The 16,253-nt window shown below is 39.3% G+C and overlaps 1 protein-coding gene across 3 annotated transcripts in view; it reads left to right on the forward strand.

Moving 5' to 3' along the window:
* Window positions 1-2,197, forward strand: part of NECTIN3 (nectin cell adhesion molecule 3) — a 122,355-nt gene extending 120,158 nt beyond the window's left edge. For all 3 annotated transcript variants that reach the window (NM_001243288.2, XM_017006123.2, XM_017006126.2), the window contains 2 exons: window positions 378-440; window positions 1,227-2,197. In NM_001243288.2, the coding sequence (NP_001230217.1) occupies window positions 378-440; window positions 1,227-1,406 (243 nt within the window). In that variant the 3' untranslated portion in view covers window positions 1,407-2,197. The remainder of the gene's footprint in view (window positions 1-377; window positions 441-1,226) is intronic.

Here is a 16,253-nt window from a genome sequence, read left to right on the forward strand (position 1 = left end):
GGTGTGCCCCACCACACCTGGCTAATTTTTGTATTTTTAGTAGAGATGGAGTTTCACCATGTTGATCAGGCTGGTCTCAAACTTCTGGCCTCAAGTTATCCACCTGCCTTGGCCTCCCAAAGTGCTAGGATTACAGGCAAGAGCCACTGTGCCCAGCCCTATATTTTCTTCTTTCCAGAAGTCAAGAGCCAGGAGAGAGTGAGTGAAACTCTTTAAAAAAATATGGTTACTTTTTCTTACTCTCATGTGGAACATTTTGCTTAGTTGGTAGACATTTATAACAAGACATGATTGGCTCTTTTAAAAATAGGAATCTTAGTGGTTGATATGTTTTGCCATGTGTTTTACAGTGCACATCTTTTTGTGTTTTCTTCCAGCCTGAACACTTGCCTTTGCAGACTCAGTTCAAAGAAAGAGAAGTTGGCAATCTTCAGCACTCTGTAAGTAACTGTGTTGTCGGTATCAGCCCAGGTGGAGCTGGTAGCTAACGTGCTTATTAAAATATCATTTAATTGTATACAAGTTCATTTTATTCATCTTTCCCCTATTTGAGTGTCTCTGCTAAGATCTGGTAGTCCTTGAATTTTACTCTTAGAAGTAATCAAGTTTTATGAAACCAATAACGGGCAGAAGAGTCTGTCCCAGAGACACCACAGAACATCATGGGGGGTTCATTTTATAGGTGCTAGCTGTGGCAAGGTCAAGCCAGAAGGAAAGGTCAAGACAAGAGGATATTTTTGGCAGAGTTTCTTTTCAGTTTTATCAGGCATATGTTCAAATGCCAGTTCATTTTGCTGTGTCCGTTCCCCAGTTCCCCAGAGCTGAGTCGAGGTTTCTTTTGTTTGGTTGGCTTAATTCTCTGTATGTCTCATATGTTCATTTCAAGCTTGAGCCTTGCTTAAGAGACTTCTGAGGTTTATAACCCTGTTCTTCTCCAGTTTACCTTAACTGATAGCAACTCCAAATTTTAAAATGTGAAACTGATCCCAGTCCCCATTAGTCACAATTTTGTATTTAGGAGCTACTACTATTCTTATTCAGGGTATTGTAAGCGACAAATGACTGGAAAATATAAGTTGTTGAACTTTACCTTGCCATTCAATAGTTTTTGGCATAATGAATCAGGGACACTAAACTGTAGTGAATTCTATTCTTGCCTGTTTTTACCAGTGCTAGAAAAATGCAAACAGCTGCTCTGCTAATGTAAGCAATGTTTGAATTTTTAGAATGGACTAAATAGCAGGAGTTTTGACTATGAAGATGAGAATCCAGTTGGGGAAGATGGCATTCAGCAGATGTACCCCCTTTACAATCAAATGTGCTACCAAGACCGGAGCCCTGGCAAACATCATCAAAATAACGACCCTAAGAGAGTCTACATCGACCCACGAGAACATTATGTGTGATTTTTCTCTTTTTCCAATGGGCGTTCTAACAAATGTTTATTCTTAGATTGGGGAGAGAAGCTAAGGCCAATAGTTATTTTACTGTCTCTCATATAAGAACAGTCCCACTCTAAGGGTATTGGAAGTCTTAATGAATGACGTAAAGCCAATAGCAAATTTCTTTTCTTCATTAAGCGTTTCTTAACCACCAGCTGTGTTTGTGAACTTGACTATAGCTTTGTGTGTTTCTGTGATGATGGTATTTAACTGCTAACATTTGGCCTACAATGGCATTTTCATTTAACAGTACAGCATCTGCCTGTGATAACTGCAGTGATTCTCCAGAAAGAAAGGCCCCAGCTGATACTATTAACCTCGTTGGGTCTCAGGCATGCTAGCCTGTTCATCTGTAATTCACACAGGCATAAAAATGAGTTCAGAATCTATTTCACTAATTATTTAGCTGGGATTTGGATTTCCCTGACATGCTTAATACAATTACAATACCTGTGTACAAACAGAGGCCTGAGGAAAGAGGCAAAATTTGCTTTTCATCCAAACAGCAACAAAAGGCAGTTGAAACCTTCAAGCCTGTTGGTTGCTTTTAAACCTTTGTGTTATTATGATATATATTCTTTGTTGAGCACTGAGGTCCTGAGGGATACATATCTCTTGCTGTTTTCTGCCTACTTTTGACTAGCTGTATGTAACAAAGGCTCTACTTTTGCTCTGTCACTGTTCCTACAGTCCTGTTCTTTACTAGCTAGATTAGCCTATTTTGCACCTATTAAATTCTAAAAACCTTGTTTAAATGGTGTACAGCCTTTAACCTTGTTCCTCTTTTCTCTAGTATTGTACATGACAGGCTCAGCTTTCACTTCTGAAATTTCTTTCAAACTAATCCCAGCCACACAGTCTTCACCTCCCCTTCTGCATTCTTCAGACTACTTATCATCCATGTTTTATCTACCTCAGAAAAGCCTGCTGGAAAGTCACCATGAAATAACTTCTGCTCTTAAAAGCCAGGTGAAAATTTAGAAAACTTAAAAGAAAAGGCACTTCAATATGGCACGTATGTTAAACTGACATGTTTTTTATCCCTTCTCCCCTACTTTACCTGGTCACCAAGAGTCAAGAGATGCTAAAAAGTAAATAATATAATGACTTATCTACTAGGGTATCCCGCAACACTTTAGTGTCTGTAAATGTGTCTTGAGTTTTCTCATCTCCCTTTGCCAGCTTTCCATCCCTGAGATTGACAGTAGTAATTACAGTGAGATAATTACAGAGCAGAGGTGGAAGGAATGTAGTTTCACATGAATGTCCATCGCTTCCCTCACATCTTAAGGAAAGCATCTTACTTTGTATTCTGGAAGGTTAGAGGTGTGTCAGAGGTATAGAAAATACTACAGAGTGTTTAGGAAAGAGTGACATAAGCAATAAAATACATTAAGTATATTTCCAACCTAACTTCAAGGGTAGAGGAGAATGTTAGCATAGATTTCTAATGAGATGCCAAAGATACGTTATGATTTATGTCGTGCTGGCTCTAGTTCTTCTTTGTGTGTTTGTTTCTTCTTTCTAGTTGCCATGCTTTATCAAATTATCTAGGTAGTTCTACAGCCGAAATATATTCTCCCCCATTTACGCGAGTGACCAGCAACTCTGGGAGACAGGATGCTTAGATTTCAACTCAATGCTTTAGCTAGGTAATTAGCAGTTTTAAAGTCTGTAGCTGTAAGGATCAAAGGGTGAATTTCAAGGACGCCCATTGCTACTGTGCTACCTCAGAGTAGGAGTGTACTGCCCTTTGTAGCAAAGAAAATATTCAACTTTATTATTTGGAAGGCCAACGCTGAGTTAGTATAACTGAAGGTGTAGGAATCCTGGCATTTGTCTTCCGATAGGAGGATGGCTGTGATCAGAGCTCTGCTTGACAGGGAAGTGTTTCATAAACACTGGATGTTATGGAGGCAATAAGGGGGTATGTCAGCTCCTTTAGAAAGCTTTAAAAATGTCAATGTCTTACATGTTGGGGATGGTTTCCAGGGTCCTGCTGGGAAGTAAATTGTTGAATTAGTTCACAAAAGCATACTATAGACCCAGGGGAGTAGCTGTCTTCATTTGCACCAGAGAAAGGGATCTGGAAACACTGGTTCTCAGGAGCCCTGTGGCCTGTCTTCAGCACCCTCCATACCTTGAGGAACCCACTGTCTACCTTTTAAAATTCTCAGTGTAGTTATGGAAAAGAAATTTCAGGATGTAGTCTCACCTCTCCTGCAGCCAGTGAGTTCAGTATCTTCTTTGCCTTGTGTCAGCTAGGATACTTCTTTAACAAACTGGTAGATGTTATAGCTCTTGGCCCTTTACACAGGTCATAGAAGCTCTATAATAGCTTATCCTGGTGCCTTCCATCTGTTCTCTCTAAAAACTGGGCTAAATAGAAAGCAGCTTTAAAAGGGTTTGATCAACCAGGCCTCTCTACCAAAAATTGCCATCCAAAAGTAGCCTGTTGGTCTCTAAATTTGGAGCCTAGACTACTTGACAATGCCATTTAAATTTGGAAGTTAGGTTCTTAAAGGTCAGCGATTGAGGTTTAGGGAATAATCCATAGCTGATATTAGATGCTCTTTCCATAACTTGTTTAGTAAAACACTCTGAAACAGAAATAAATCCTCAGAGCGCTTATCTACTTATGGTTGCAGCTCTGCACTTCTGGGTGGGGTGTGCATGCTTACCTTAAACGCACAGCCTTTATTGCCTATTTTGTAGGCAGCCCAAGAGTATGCCTTGGAGTATGCATTGTTGCTACAGTAGCAGATCACCGTGTTCTTTGCACACCACATGCAATGGTATAAGAAGTCCATGCTCTTTGGGGTATGTAATATAAAATTCTTACCGGGGCTATGCTTCTGTGTAACATGTACATAATAGATACTTAAGAAATGTGCTGAAAACTACAATGAACTGGTTTCCCCATTACTTTCCTATGGGCTTGTTTACTTAAAGGGACAAGATAGTTTCTTCATCCTGCTATTGCAAATGATTTCCTAAGACCTCTTTCACAGTAGTCTAAAATTCACTATTTGGTTTTCCATTTTTCACTCTTTTCCTGCACTATGCTGGTTTTCCGGTGCTATTCTTTATATACAGTAGAGCCTTCCTTTAAGCCTCATTCCCTGGAGTTTGGAAGATAGACCATTTACCAAGAATCAAAACAGGTACTCCCAACTTCACCTCTTTCTAGCCATTCAAACAGGCAAGTCACTTAACCTGTCTGGGGTATCATTTGCAACCTCTCAGAATTGTGGTGAGAGTTAAAGAAGATGATAATGGATGGGAAATTGGAGAATTGTAATTTTCCTTCAAACTGACAAATGCCTATGACTCTGTTATTGTTGCATATTGAACCTAAATGTCCAGGGCCCTTGCCAGCATTTAGAATACTGTAGTTTCCCTAGGGATTACCAAGTGGCAAAATGAAAAATTCAGTTTGATCGAATTCACGTATAGCCAAGTGCAAGTTAGAGAACTTCCTTTTACTATAACAAATAATTGTCATGTGAAAAGCTTTTTGTCTGAATCTTAGCTGCTTAGGCTTTAGCTAGAATTGAAAATGCATGTTACTATTACCAGTATTTGCTCTTATTTTAAAAATTACTACTAATAACAAATAACATCATTGAGTACGTAGTATGGATTGGGTTCTAGGGCAAATACCTTACATGAATCATCTCAAGGAATAGAACCAGACTCCTGTTTTGCCCTCTTCCCAGGAGCTCCTGTGGGACAGACAGGCCCATACTCCCCTGCTGTACAATCATAGGGCATGCTGAGCATCAGTTGGCTGTTACTTCTTTCAAATCTGCTTTTGGGGAGTGGGGAACATAGTTTTTAAATTATTTTTAAAGCAAAGATATAAGAGAGTATATGGAATAAAACCATAAGAAATGTTTATTAAGACAAAAGCAAGTACATATGCTCTTTTTTTTTACTTTACTATGGGTAATTCAAATGCTCAGACTCTCATATTCATTAGATTACCCATAGCTATAAAAACAACCAACCAAATAATTATAACCACTCCATCTCAGTTGGCTCAATTTTAGTGGGCACAAACTTCTCTCTAACATCTCTCCCTCAACTTAGTTGTTCGATATGCTCATTGCTGTGTTTGTTTCACCTTTACTGAACTCCCAGGAGTGGCGACACTCCTATACTGGACAACTGGAAAGAAGCCAAAAAGACAGAAGAATAGAAAAGCATCAAATAGAAATGTCACAGTCCCCACCCGTGGCTCAGCTCTGTGGTTCTCTTCTTCCTGTGTTTGGCTGACAAGGACCTTCCTTCATTCTGAAGTCATTTGCAGACCTTATAGCAGGACCAGGGACTTTCATCCCCATTAAACTAGAAGCTGCTATTTGCAGGCTTATTTCAACTGTAGACTATGACTGGATTAATATTGTTATATCTATAAAAATATTGGGTTTCCTCCACTAGAGAAAATTATAACCTGGCCTTTGCCAGTTTGGGCGCTCACAATTATTAGGTTGTTTTGGTAGCCTTCAGTAGATAGAAATGTGTGAGGGCTATAGGGCTCCCAACCTCACCAGGTGGTACTTTACACTGAAATCAGGTCTTAGACCAAGTGCTGCGTCATGTGTGTTTATGAGCAAGCAGGCACCAGAACAGTCATGCAACCTGTCCTGTAAGCTTGAAAAAGTCCCAATTCTGTCCTTCTGTGCAACCCAACATTATCCTACCTAGAAGAGTTATTAGAAGTGAATCCAGCAATATTCTAGCAGATTCAGTCAGCCAAGTCAATTCTTAGTTTCACTTCTAAAAGAATAAGTTAGAAATCCCAAACTGCTGGGCTTGTCAGATTCTTATACACTGCTTGTGGAAGGTCTAGGGTGCCCTACAATATTTGGGCCGATCCACATATCTCTAACACCATTAATATGAATCATTGGAAATATTTTACTTATTAACAAAGTCTCTTGTGTTAAGCTACAGATAAAGCTTTTGTGGTAGTGTCTGAAGTGACTAGAGTTTTTTTCAAATGCTAGCAGCCCTGAAGTTGTATTCCCAATTAGGATATGTCAGACGTTAAGCAGGCACCCCCAGAGTAACTATTATGACTGATTAACATATGCCAAAATAATTTTTAAAAATTATATCAAGTATAACAGAACTTATTAAAGATTTCACAGGTTATTATACCCTCACACTAGGGTGGGGTGAAGCTCTTTACTGCTCTAAACTCAACAACCTGCTGTGTAGAGGTGAACTGGCACTTATCCTTAGTGACAGCCTGTTCATCCTTAGGGGTGTGTGTGTGTGTGTGTGTGTGTGTGTGTGTGTGTGTGTGTGTGTGTGTAAGAGAGAAAGAAATGTCTACTTAAAATTTGCAGCTCAAAAAAACATTTTGCAGTTCACATGTGCAAGAGAATCCCACCCCTGCAAACTTCTCTCAATACTTGAAACATTAGGTTACTGCTATGTTTTTTTCTATTATTGAGTTTGTTACTTTTCTCAAGTTTTAATTTGACTGTAGAAGTTTGAAGCAGAGTAGACTAAAGATAAAAGGGAACATAAACAATTCAGAAGAACACAAAAAATTTTGTCATATGTTTTCAATTGGGGCAATGACATATAAGTTCCCTCTGGGTCTCAAGGAGAGAGGATCTACCATTGACAAATAAAAACATTCTCCATTCCGTTAGTTATGAATAAATCCATCCCATTAATCCTTCCCCCGGAATATTCTAGTCAGTGTGTGGGGGCTGAGGTTATGATATATATCAAACAACATGCCTCCCTACATCAAAAAGTACTAGTTACATTCTGTATCTTAAAGCTGTGAGGTTTAGGATTAACTTCCATAATTTCAGAGGAATAGATGTTTTGAATATTATTGCCATATATATTTCCTGAAAACAACATTTCCATGAGTTGAAAATGGGCAGGGTACTGTCCTCTAAATGCTCCCATTCTGTAGCTGTGTTTACAGCTGCCACTAGCACATGATTTATAGAAGAGGCATATCAGCTGGACCCAAGGAGATGTACTCATGGACTTAAGATGATTAGATTATAAATGCCATCCCACACAATCTTTAATAAACAAAACCCAGGTGAGCTATATCATTCTTTTGCTGCATCAAAAGATGGGAAACCAAACAGTTGTCCTCTTGTGGTTTTTCCCAGCAATACAATTTATAAAGTTCCTATAATCAGGTGCCCTGTGACCCAGCAGGATCCTTGGTACCATGACCTAAATTGGTTGTATTTATTATCATGGTATGGAATTTGACTGTGAAAGTTGATTAGAGACCTTGAGGGAAAGCCTCCCTGGAGATCCAGAACATCAGATTTGCTATGCTGGCTTAGAACTGTGTCCTATCCTACTACAGATGTGTCTGTCAGCCATGAAGAGATGTTTTAGGTGTCTCTTCCAGAAGTTGATTTCCGCTAATAACCCACAGTGGATCTATGAATACCAGAGTTGTACGTGATTTTCCAAGTGAATAGGCGCCATTGTTTTGGTTTTAAATACCCTTTCCAGTAATGACTGGTATTTTTTAAAAACCTACCCTAGCATGTTGATCAGGCTAAATTAAGTTCCTCTCTCAAGCCTTATTGATGGCTCAGTGCCCATTATATTTTAACTACAGGTAACAGCAGTTTGTCCTAAATGCATTAGTTTGCACTTGTCCAGGTTGTAGCTCTTTTATGCCTCTGCTTTTTCCCACATGGTCTTATGAGAACATATTGCATATATTCCCTTCAGCTGAGCATTTCAATACCCAGACAAGTGTTTGTCATTTTAGGCCTCATCACATACTTGAAATTCCAAGTCCTTTTTAAAAGAAATGTTAAGTAGCTGGTGTTGCTACTAGATCCCTGGATTATTCCACTTGTCCATCCATAAAAGTTCCTGTTTATTCTCTACCTTCTGTTTCTATTTCTAAGCCAATGCTTTAAGACATAACATCTGCTCCAGCCTGTTCACTATCCATGTGGTTTTAAACTCTTAACTTTACTTCTTAGCTTCATCCCTGTAAGTAAGTGCTCTCTACCTCACAGGGGTCTTATGAGGGGGAAAAAATAAGATGTTTAAGGGTTGTTTTAAGAGAGAGATCCTTCTTTTAAAGTGATTTTATCAAAGCCCCTTGGGTTAGAAATGAAAAACTCTATAGCTATTTTTTTCCTATTCTCGTTTTGCTATTTTTATTTCTGAAAAGTGATCTGTCTGAAAAGAGCCTTATATCTGGTTTTAACTTCTCCTCATTGACCCTTTTCACAGTGAAATCTCTACTTTATCCATGCTCTGAACTTTTTATTTATGGAGCCCAAACTAATTTTCCCACAACAAATCTCACATACTTTTACTCCTATCATTAAACAAATTAATGTCCTCCACAAAGAAACATCTGGCTCTTCCTACAAGAAGTCAGAAGCTAATGAGGTCTCACTCTGGCCCTGGCAAGATCTCACAGTGTGCCTTGGTTCTCCCTGTGTAAACTGAGGTAGTCCGGCTATTCCCCAGCGCCCAGGTGTTGTGAGTCCTAATAAATGGTGAAAAGCATTTTGCAAATGTTCTGTACTATATAAATGCATAGTGCCTAATATGGAGAGTCTTCAAGCAAAAATGTGCTCTAGCTCAATTCAGAATACTAATTCACCCATTGTTTTCAAAAGAAATGTTTTACTAACCTGTTTTTTTTTCTTTTGTAAAATTAGTTTCTAGTCATTTGAACTGTTTTTATTTTGTGTATAGAAGTGATCAATAGTATATATTCTTGCTTGTCAGAGAATACCCAAGTTGTATTGTTAAATGTTAAAACAATGGGGTTACATAACAGTATAGTTGGATAGGGAGGAAGATTCTAGCTCAAAAGTTGCAAAATACAGAAATACAAAGATTAGCTTTGAATTGGAGATTGTACTATAAATAGTAGATGTTAATGTGGTGGTTTCTAGATATATACTTTATTTTTAAGTTACAAGAAATTGTCTTTTATTTTTGCAGTTTTGAACTATATGATTCTTTACATGTTTTAAATAAAGTTTTTATCAACTAAGATTTTTCATTTACATTATTATCAGTAAATTAAAATACATGTAAAAATTAACCTAATTACATGACTATAAAATTTAAATTTAAGATTTAAAGAACATCTTTTATGGCAACTAAGTTTCTATACTTTAGTCCTTTTTAAAAAGATTTTAAAAATAATAGTAGAAATGCTTTTATGCTTCAAGGAGCATTGGAAAATTTTTTTAATATGATGTTACTTATTATTGTAATTACTTACAATTACTTAATACCTTTTTAGTGAAGCTACATTTATTCCACTTAAATAATTATTGCTTATTCCTGATTAATCCTTAGGAGTTAAAATGTCTTTTCTTTTATAAAATTATATTGCTGCTTAATGATCACTAAATGTTCTCATTTACTGGTCCCCCTCCCCCACTCCAACCCCCAAAAAAGAAAAGTTGGCATCTATAATAGATTCCTGAACTTTGATTTGGGGATGCTTTACTGGTCTTAGAAATCCCAGAGTCTAGGGACTGCTTTTTTAAAAATAACTTCTTAGATACTATAGAATTCATCTTTTTAAAGTGTTAAATTCAGTGGTTTTGGTATATTCACAGAGTTGTACAACCATTACCACAATCAATTTTAAAATATTTTCATCACTCCAGAAGGAAACCCATGCACATTAGCAGTCATCCACCTCTCCTTCAAGTCCCTGGCAACCACCAATCTCCTTTCCATCTCTGTGGATTTGCCTATTCTTGACATGTTATATAAATGGGATCAGATACTACATAATTCTTTGTGACTGGCATCTTTTACTTAATATTTCTGAAGTTCATCCATGTTGTAGTATGTATCATTTCCTTATATTGCTGAAGAATATTCCATTGTATGGATATATATCACATTTTATCTACTCATCACTTGGTGGACTTTTGGGTCATTCACTTTTTGGAAATAATTATGAATTATGAATAATGCTGCTATGAACATTTGTGTACCAGTTTTGGGGTGAACACATGTTTTATTTCTTTTGCATCTATACCTAGGTATCTAATTGCTGGATCATATGGCAACTCTGTTGTTTAACTTTTTGAGGAACTGCCAAACTGTTTTCCAAAGCTGCTGCACCATTTTATATTTCCACCAACAGTGAATGGGGGCTCTACTTTCTTCACATTCTCACCGTGTGTTATTATCTCTTTTTTATTATTATTATAGCCATTCTAGTAAGTGGAAAGTGGGATTGCATTGTGTTTTTTATTTGAATTTTCCTGATGGCTAGTGATGTTTGTTTTCTACAACCCGTTAAGAAGATAAAGCCATTCTTAGCTTATAAATATAAACTGTATGAAAATAGGCTGTAGGCTGGATTTGGCCCATGGCTAGCCAACCTCTGACCTAGAGGATAGAATTAGTAGACAAACACACTAAAATAGGTATCATAAATACACTCTATATGTTAAAAAATGTAGAAGAAAGCATGAACCTATTAAAGATAGATATGGAAGATTAAAAAGAATGTACAAGGTAGAGTGCTGATAAATCGACTTGCTGGGTTTAAAAACAAAAACAAACAAACAAAAACCTTGAGTTGCGTCATTTGCTGATTTCCATGGTGTACCTGATATCACCAGGGCCAGTTTTAAGCTACCAGCATGACACCACTGAACCTGAAGCTGAGAAGGGATGTGCACTATCAGCACTTGCAAGCTGGTCCCAGCTGACTCTAGCACATTATTGATGTAACCACTTCTGACTGCATGACATATAGTAATCACTAAATATAGCTAACATCTTCAAAGCTGTCGTTGGTCTCCATTCCTACAAGCATCCAGTGGGAGGGAGAATATTTGCCTCTTCTCATTGTATTATGAAACTCCCAGATAGCCTTTTGCTTTTTCTCAGCCTTCATTACTCTGAAATCATAACTACATTTCCACAAGGTAAAATAAGTATATAAACGTGCATCCTCCCAAAAATGTTTTATAAACAAAAAACCACACTGGAATAAAGGCAAAGCAACAGAAGTTAACATGTTCTGATCCATCCAGAAAACTTCCTGGAACATGTACCTTGGTGTTGTGCCAAACCCCTGTTGACTGTAATGGAGATGGCACCACATTCGAGAGGCTGAAGAAGAGACTTGGGGCCAGCAAACAAGACAGGGGGTTTCACTGGGGCTTACATACTGGGGAGAGAGTGGCAGCTGGGCAGAAGAACTGCAACCGCTTGCAAAAGGTGTTTATATAACATTCTCACTTAGTACCCTTTACCTAACAACCTTCATCTGTCAACTTCATTCAACCCAAACTTAGGGCCTCAATCCCCTGTATGGCTGGTGTTCCATAGGATGGGTTAGGGGCTCAGATGTTCCTTATAGACAAGGAACAAATCTCCAGGTTGGCCACTCTTGGATTCTCTAGCTTGGAAAACACATTCAGGTACATATGCCATACAGGGTCATTCTCAGGGTACACTAAATTATTGCTTTCATGTGCATTTACCCTGCAGTTGGGTGTTGAATAGATGGGAAATAGCCATGCAAGCAACAGAACAGACATTCCATACATATGGATGGTTTGTGCAAGAGTTCAACAGTGAGAGTCAAAAGTTGGAGAAGATTTGTCTGAGCAGTTAGATATGCAATATGCAGTCAGACATTTTGCCTGTGAGTTTCTTTTTTCCAGAGGTTCCAGGAAAAGCCTCAACTTTAGACTTCTGTTTCTACCAAAACAGCAATATGCATGGAAAAAAATTGTTCTACACCTTCTGAAATTGCTTCAAGAAAGCTCTTGAGATTAGAGGGTGAATTATCCAAAAAATAAACAGTTCTTATCTCATATTTTAAATAACCCCTTGAAGTCAGGCAAGGTGGCTCACACCTGTAATCCCAGCACTTTAGGAGGCCAAGGCAGGAGGATCACTTGAGCCCAGAAGTTCAAGGTGTGCCTGGGCAATATAGTGAGACCCTATCTCTGGGAAAAAAAAAAAAGAGGGAGGAAGGAAGGATTGGCCAGGTATAGAGGTATGTTCCTGTAGTCTCAGCTACTCGGGAGGATTGCTTGAGCCCAGGAGGTCAAGGTGTGCCTGGGCACTGGGCAATATAGTAAGACCCCATCTTTAAAAAAAAAAAAAGAAAAATTAGCCAGGTAAGGGAGCATGTACCTGTAGTCCCAGCTACTCGGGAGGATCACTTGAGCCCAGGAGGTCAAGGCTGCAGTGAGCTGTGATTTCTCCACTGCCTCCCAGCCTGGGTGACAGAATGAGACTGTCTCTAAAAAATAAAAATTAAATAGCCCTTTGAAATTCTGGTCTAATATGTTTCTAAATGGAGATTCATGTTCTATATTTAAGAATAACCAATCCTTTTTATCCACAATCTCTTGGGGCTCCCACAACCTTTTCTAAATACTTCCCTTCCTACTGGTGTTAAAGCCAAAAGTTCAGTGAAGGATTGATGCTTTCACCTGTATTTATCTTACCTTGTTCAGTGTAGAAGAGGTAGAACTATTTATTGTCAAGAGACATCCTGATCATTTAATCAGAACTCAATTACTGATTTCCCAAATTTGTAAATTCCCAAGTAGGAATATGCAGGGCAAAGGGACTTGAACAATTTGTGACTTTATCTGCAAACTATCCTGTTCTTCTCTTGGCTAAAGAAAAAGCAGTCTTTTCTAAAATGCAAAGGACATTCTAGCACAGATGTGCCCTGCTGTGAATCAGCCAGATGTCCTGGATTTCCTGGCATAGTCCTGCTTTCCAAAGTCAGCCTTGTTATCCCTGTAAATACTGGAGCACGTCAGAGTGATTGTCACCGTGCTGAGTTCAACACCCAAGGTCTGTGCCCTACACCCTAATCCAAAGAATCACTACTTTTGATTTAGTGTAATATGAAGGCATGGCCTGTGGCATTGGTGTGTTTTCAGGCAATCTTATTTTCTCCTGCAGATGGTTTACAGAAACATCCACCGCTCTCCCATTCTTTGTTCTGGCCACAGAGGATTCCACTCCCTATAGCTGTTGGAAGCAGTATTCCCAGGTGTGAAATATGCACCTTCAGGACCTGAAGAGGCCTCCCACACCTCGAACTTGCTTTTTTATGCTGGAAGGTGCAAGAGGCAATGATTTATTTTTCACTTTAGAGGAAATATTCTAGCTACCTCTGGTCACTGGATTTCTGAATATTTTGCTGACATTTCAGGCTCTGGAATATTTGTCTCCCACCCCCTGGAGTACATGTGTCATGCCAATTCTAAGCCCATCCCACTACTGATATGGTGGATCAGTGAGGTGTTCCCTGGGATGTTCAATGATTCCAGGTTTCTCTTGACTACATTATGAAACAGGCAGTGGAGTTAATATAGTCCTGAGTCAAAATTGTGAAGGTATATTGTCACCCATTCCACATGGATATGAACTCTTTTTGATCCTCTTTTTTGATCAGACTAGAAAATAATACTTGGTATATCCATGCCCACATATGCCATATTAATCTGCTCTAGTAAAGATACCACATTTAGCACAATGGATATAATTGGGGATATTACTTTGAGTTCATGGGAATCTACTATCATCCTCCAGGGTCCATCTAGTTTCTTCAAGAACTGGACGGGTGAATTTGATGGAAATATGATAGGGACCATCACCTTTTAAAGGCTTAGGTGTAGCACAATTTCTGCCATCTCTCCTGGGAGGCGATAATATTATATATCTACTATTTGACTCAGCAGGGAGGCAGTTTTAGGGACTTCCATTTTGACTTCCTCATTATGTTAACTCTTAATCACAGGCCAAGGACCTATGTGGATATTGTGCCAACTATCAGGTGTGTCTATACCTTTGACTGGGGAAGTGACCATCAAGTGGGTCTTCAGGGCTGCATTGATTACCAGCTTCCTGTATGTGCTCATTCTAATGAAGGGAGGGTGTAATGACACTTAGGGACTCCAACTATCAATGTCAACTTGGGCCCAAGAGTCCTTGAAATGTTTGGCATCCCCAGTGTACAGCTGCCTAAATAAATAACTATATGTTTCTTTGGACAAGAACAGGGGAAATTCTTGTCATGAATACTTGCTGTGGTTCTGCAAGGTCCTTCGTCGTGGAGACCTGTGGTCATTCAGTAAATTATAGGTCTGAAAACTGTCTCAAGTTCAGAAATGGCAAAACCTTTTGACTTTCTATTTATCAGCTTCCAGCTTCCTTATTAAATATCCCTCAATTTCTTCTGATGGTACAAAATGACAAATTCTGTTACCTGTCTACCTTTGTAATCCTTGAGAGGCCGTGTTCTATTAATTCAGTGGTTCTCAAACTAGCTTGCATTGGAATAACCTGAAGAGCTTGTTAAACCACAGATTGCTGGGTCCTAGCCCCAGAGTTTCTGATTCCATAGGCCTGGGGAGGATCCTGAGAATTTGCATTTCTAAGTAGTTCCCAGGAGGTGGTGATGCTCCTGGTCCAGGAACCACTGTAATCATCTCCATAACTGCACATTAGGCCCCTTTTGCTGCCACTCCAACCTTACCACTCATTAGGATAATTGTATCCACCTGCCTTGCTTCAGGCAGTTACACATCATTACCTGGCCTCTTATATTGGGGTCCTATCATCACTGCTGTTATCCATTTGAGATCCTTTCCTCATTGCTTAACATTTTAGTGAGGCTGAATCCCCTCACCTGTGTATTCCTCATGGCCTTAGTAAATGGTGTGTCCTCTGTGCCTTTCTGTGAAACATAGTCCTTTGGAGGGTATTGGGGCCTCACATAAATATATAATACTTCCAGTCTAATATATCCACTTCCCTGAGCCTTTTAAGCCATTCTTCCATCTGCCAGGGAAATTCTGGCACTCCATCTTTGCTTAGTATGGGCCATTGCCTTTTCCATGCTGCTAGGAGCCATCCTAGTAGCAAGGTGACACCATTTCCTGGGGGCCTTGCCAAGGTGTAAATCCTGTGTCTCTGGAGAGTGTTCCCAAATCAATAAACTTTCCCTTCTCCAATCTTATGTTCCAACTCCTCTTGGTCAAGCAGCCTCAAAATCTAGTCCCGCTGGTACTGCCCTGACATCTGCCAGTATATATTGGCTAGGACTTGCAGCTTCTTTGGAATAGAGTGCCTTTTTTCCCTTATCAGGCTCAGCGTGTCCTGGGCTGATTATGAATTAATCCTACTTATACACCTAGTAGGCAGGAGGAGAGGTCGGGGGGTGGGGGGCGGATATTGAGAGCGGGGTATGTGCTGTCTTGGAGGAAAGAGAGAGCATTGTTTTTAAGCAAGAAGGAAATGCTAGCTTTAAGTACGGAGGATAGGCCACTTCTCCAGGCTCAAAGAATTCAGAGGCATTGTAGAGTGAACAACAGCCCCAGTTTGCCCAGTACTGCCTCAGTTTTAGCACTGAAAACCCCACATCACAGGAAACTCCCCTGTCACTGGAAAACCAAGAGAGTTCATCACCTTAAGATTCAGCATTTTCAGGGAATCGTCCTAGATGTTCCTATCCCGAGTGTCAGGGTCCTGTTTTTCCCCAACCATGGCTGGAGTAACAGTTCTGCCATAGTTGGGCATTTAACTGTATCTAGAAATCAGTACTATCTTTAGCTCTGAGCTCGACCCTCAGCTCCTCTACCCTCCTGCTGTAGGAAATGAACACCTCTCTGAAAACTACCAGGGAAATCTCATGGCTTACATATTTAGCTCTCAGTTGCCTATTGCCTGCATCTTTTTATTATCGAGGATATCAATGGCCCTCAGCAATACTCATGTAATCCCATTGTCCTTAGAGTTACTATTTCCCCCTCACTTCTCGTA

Source organism: Homo sapiens, chromosome 3 (assembly GCF_000001405.40).
Source record: "Homo sapiens chromosome 3, GRCh38.p14 Primary Assembly".
Lineage (NCBI taxonomy): Eukaryota > Metazoa > Chordata > Mammalia > Primates > Hominidae > Homo > Homo sapiens.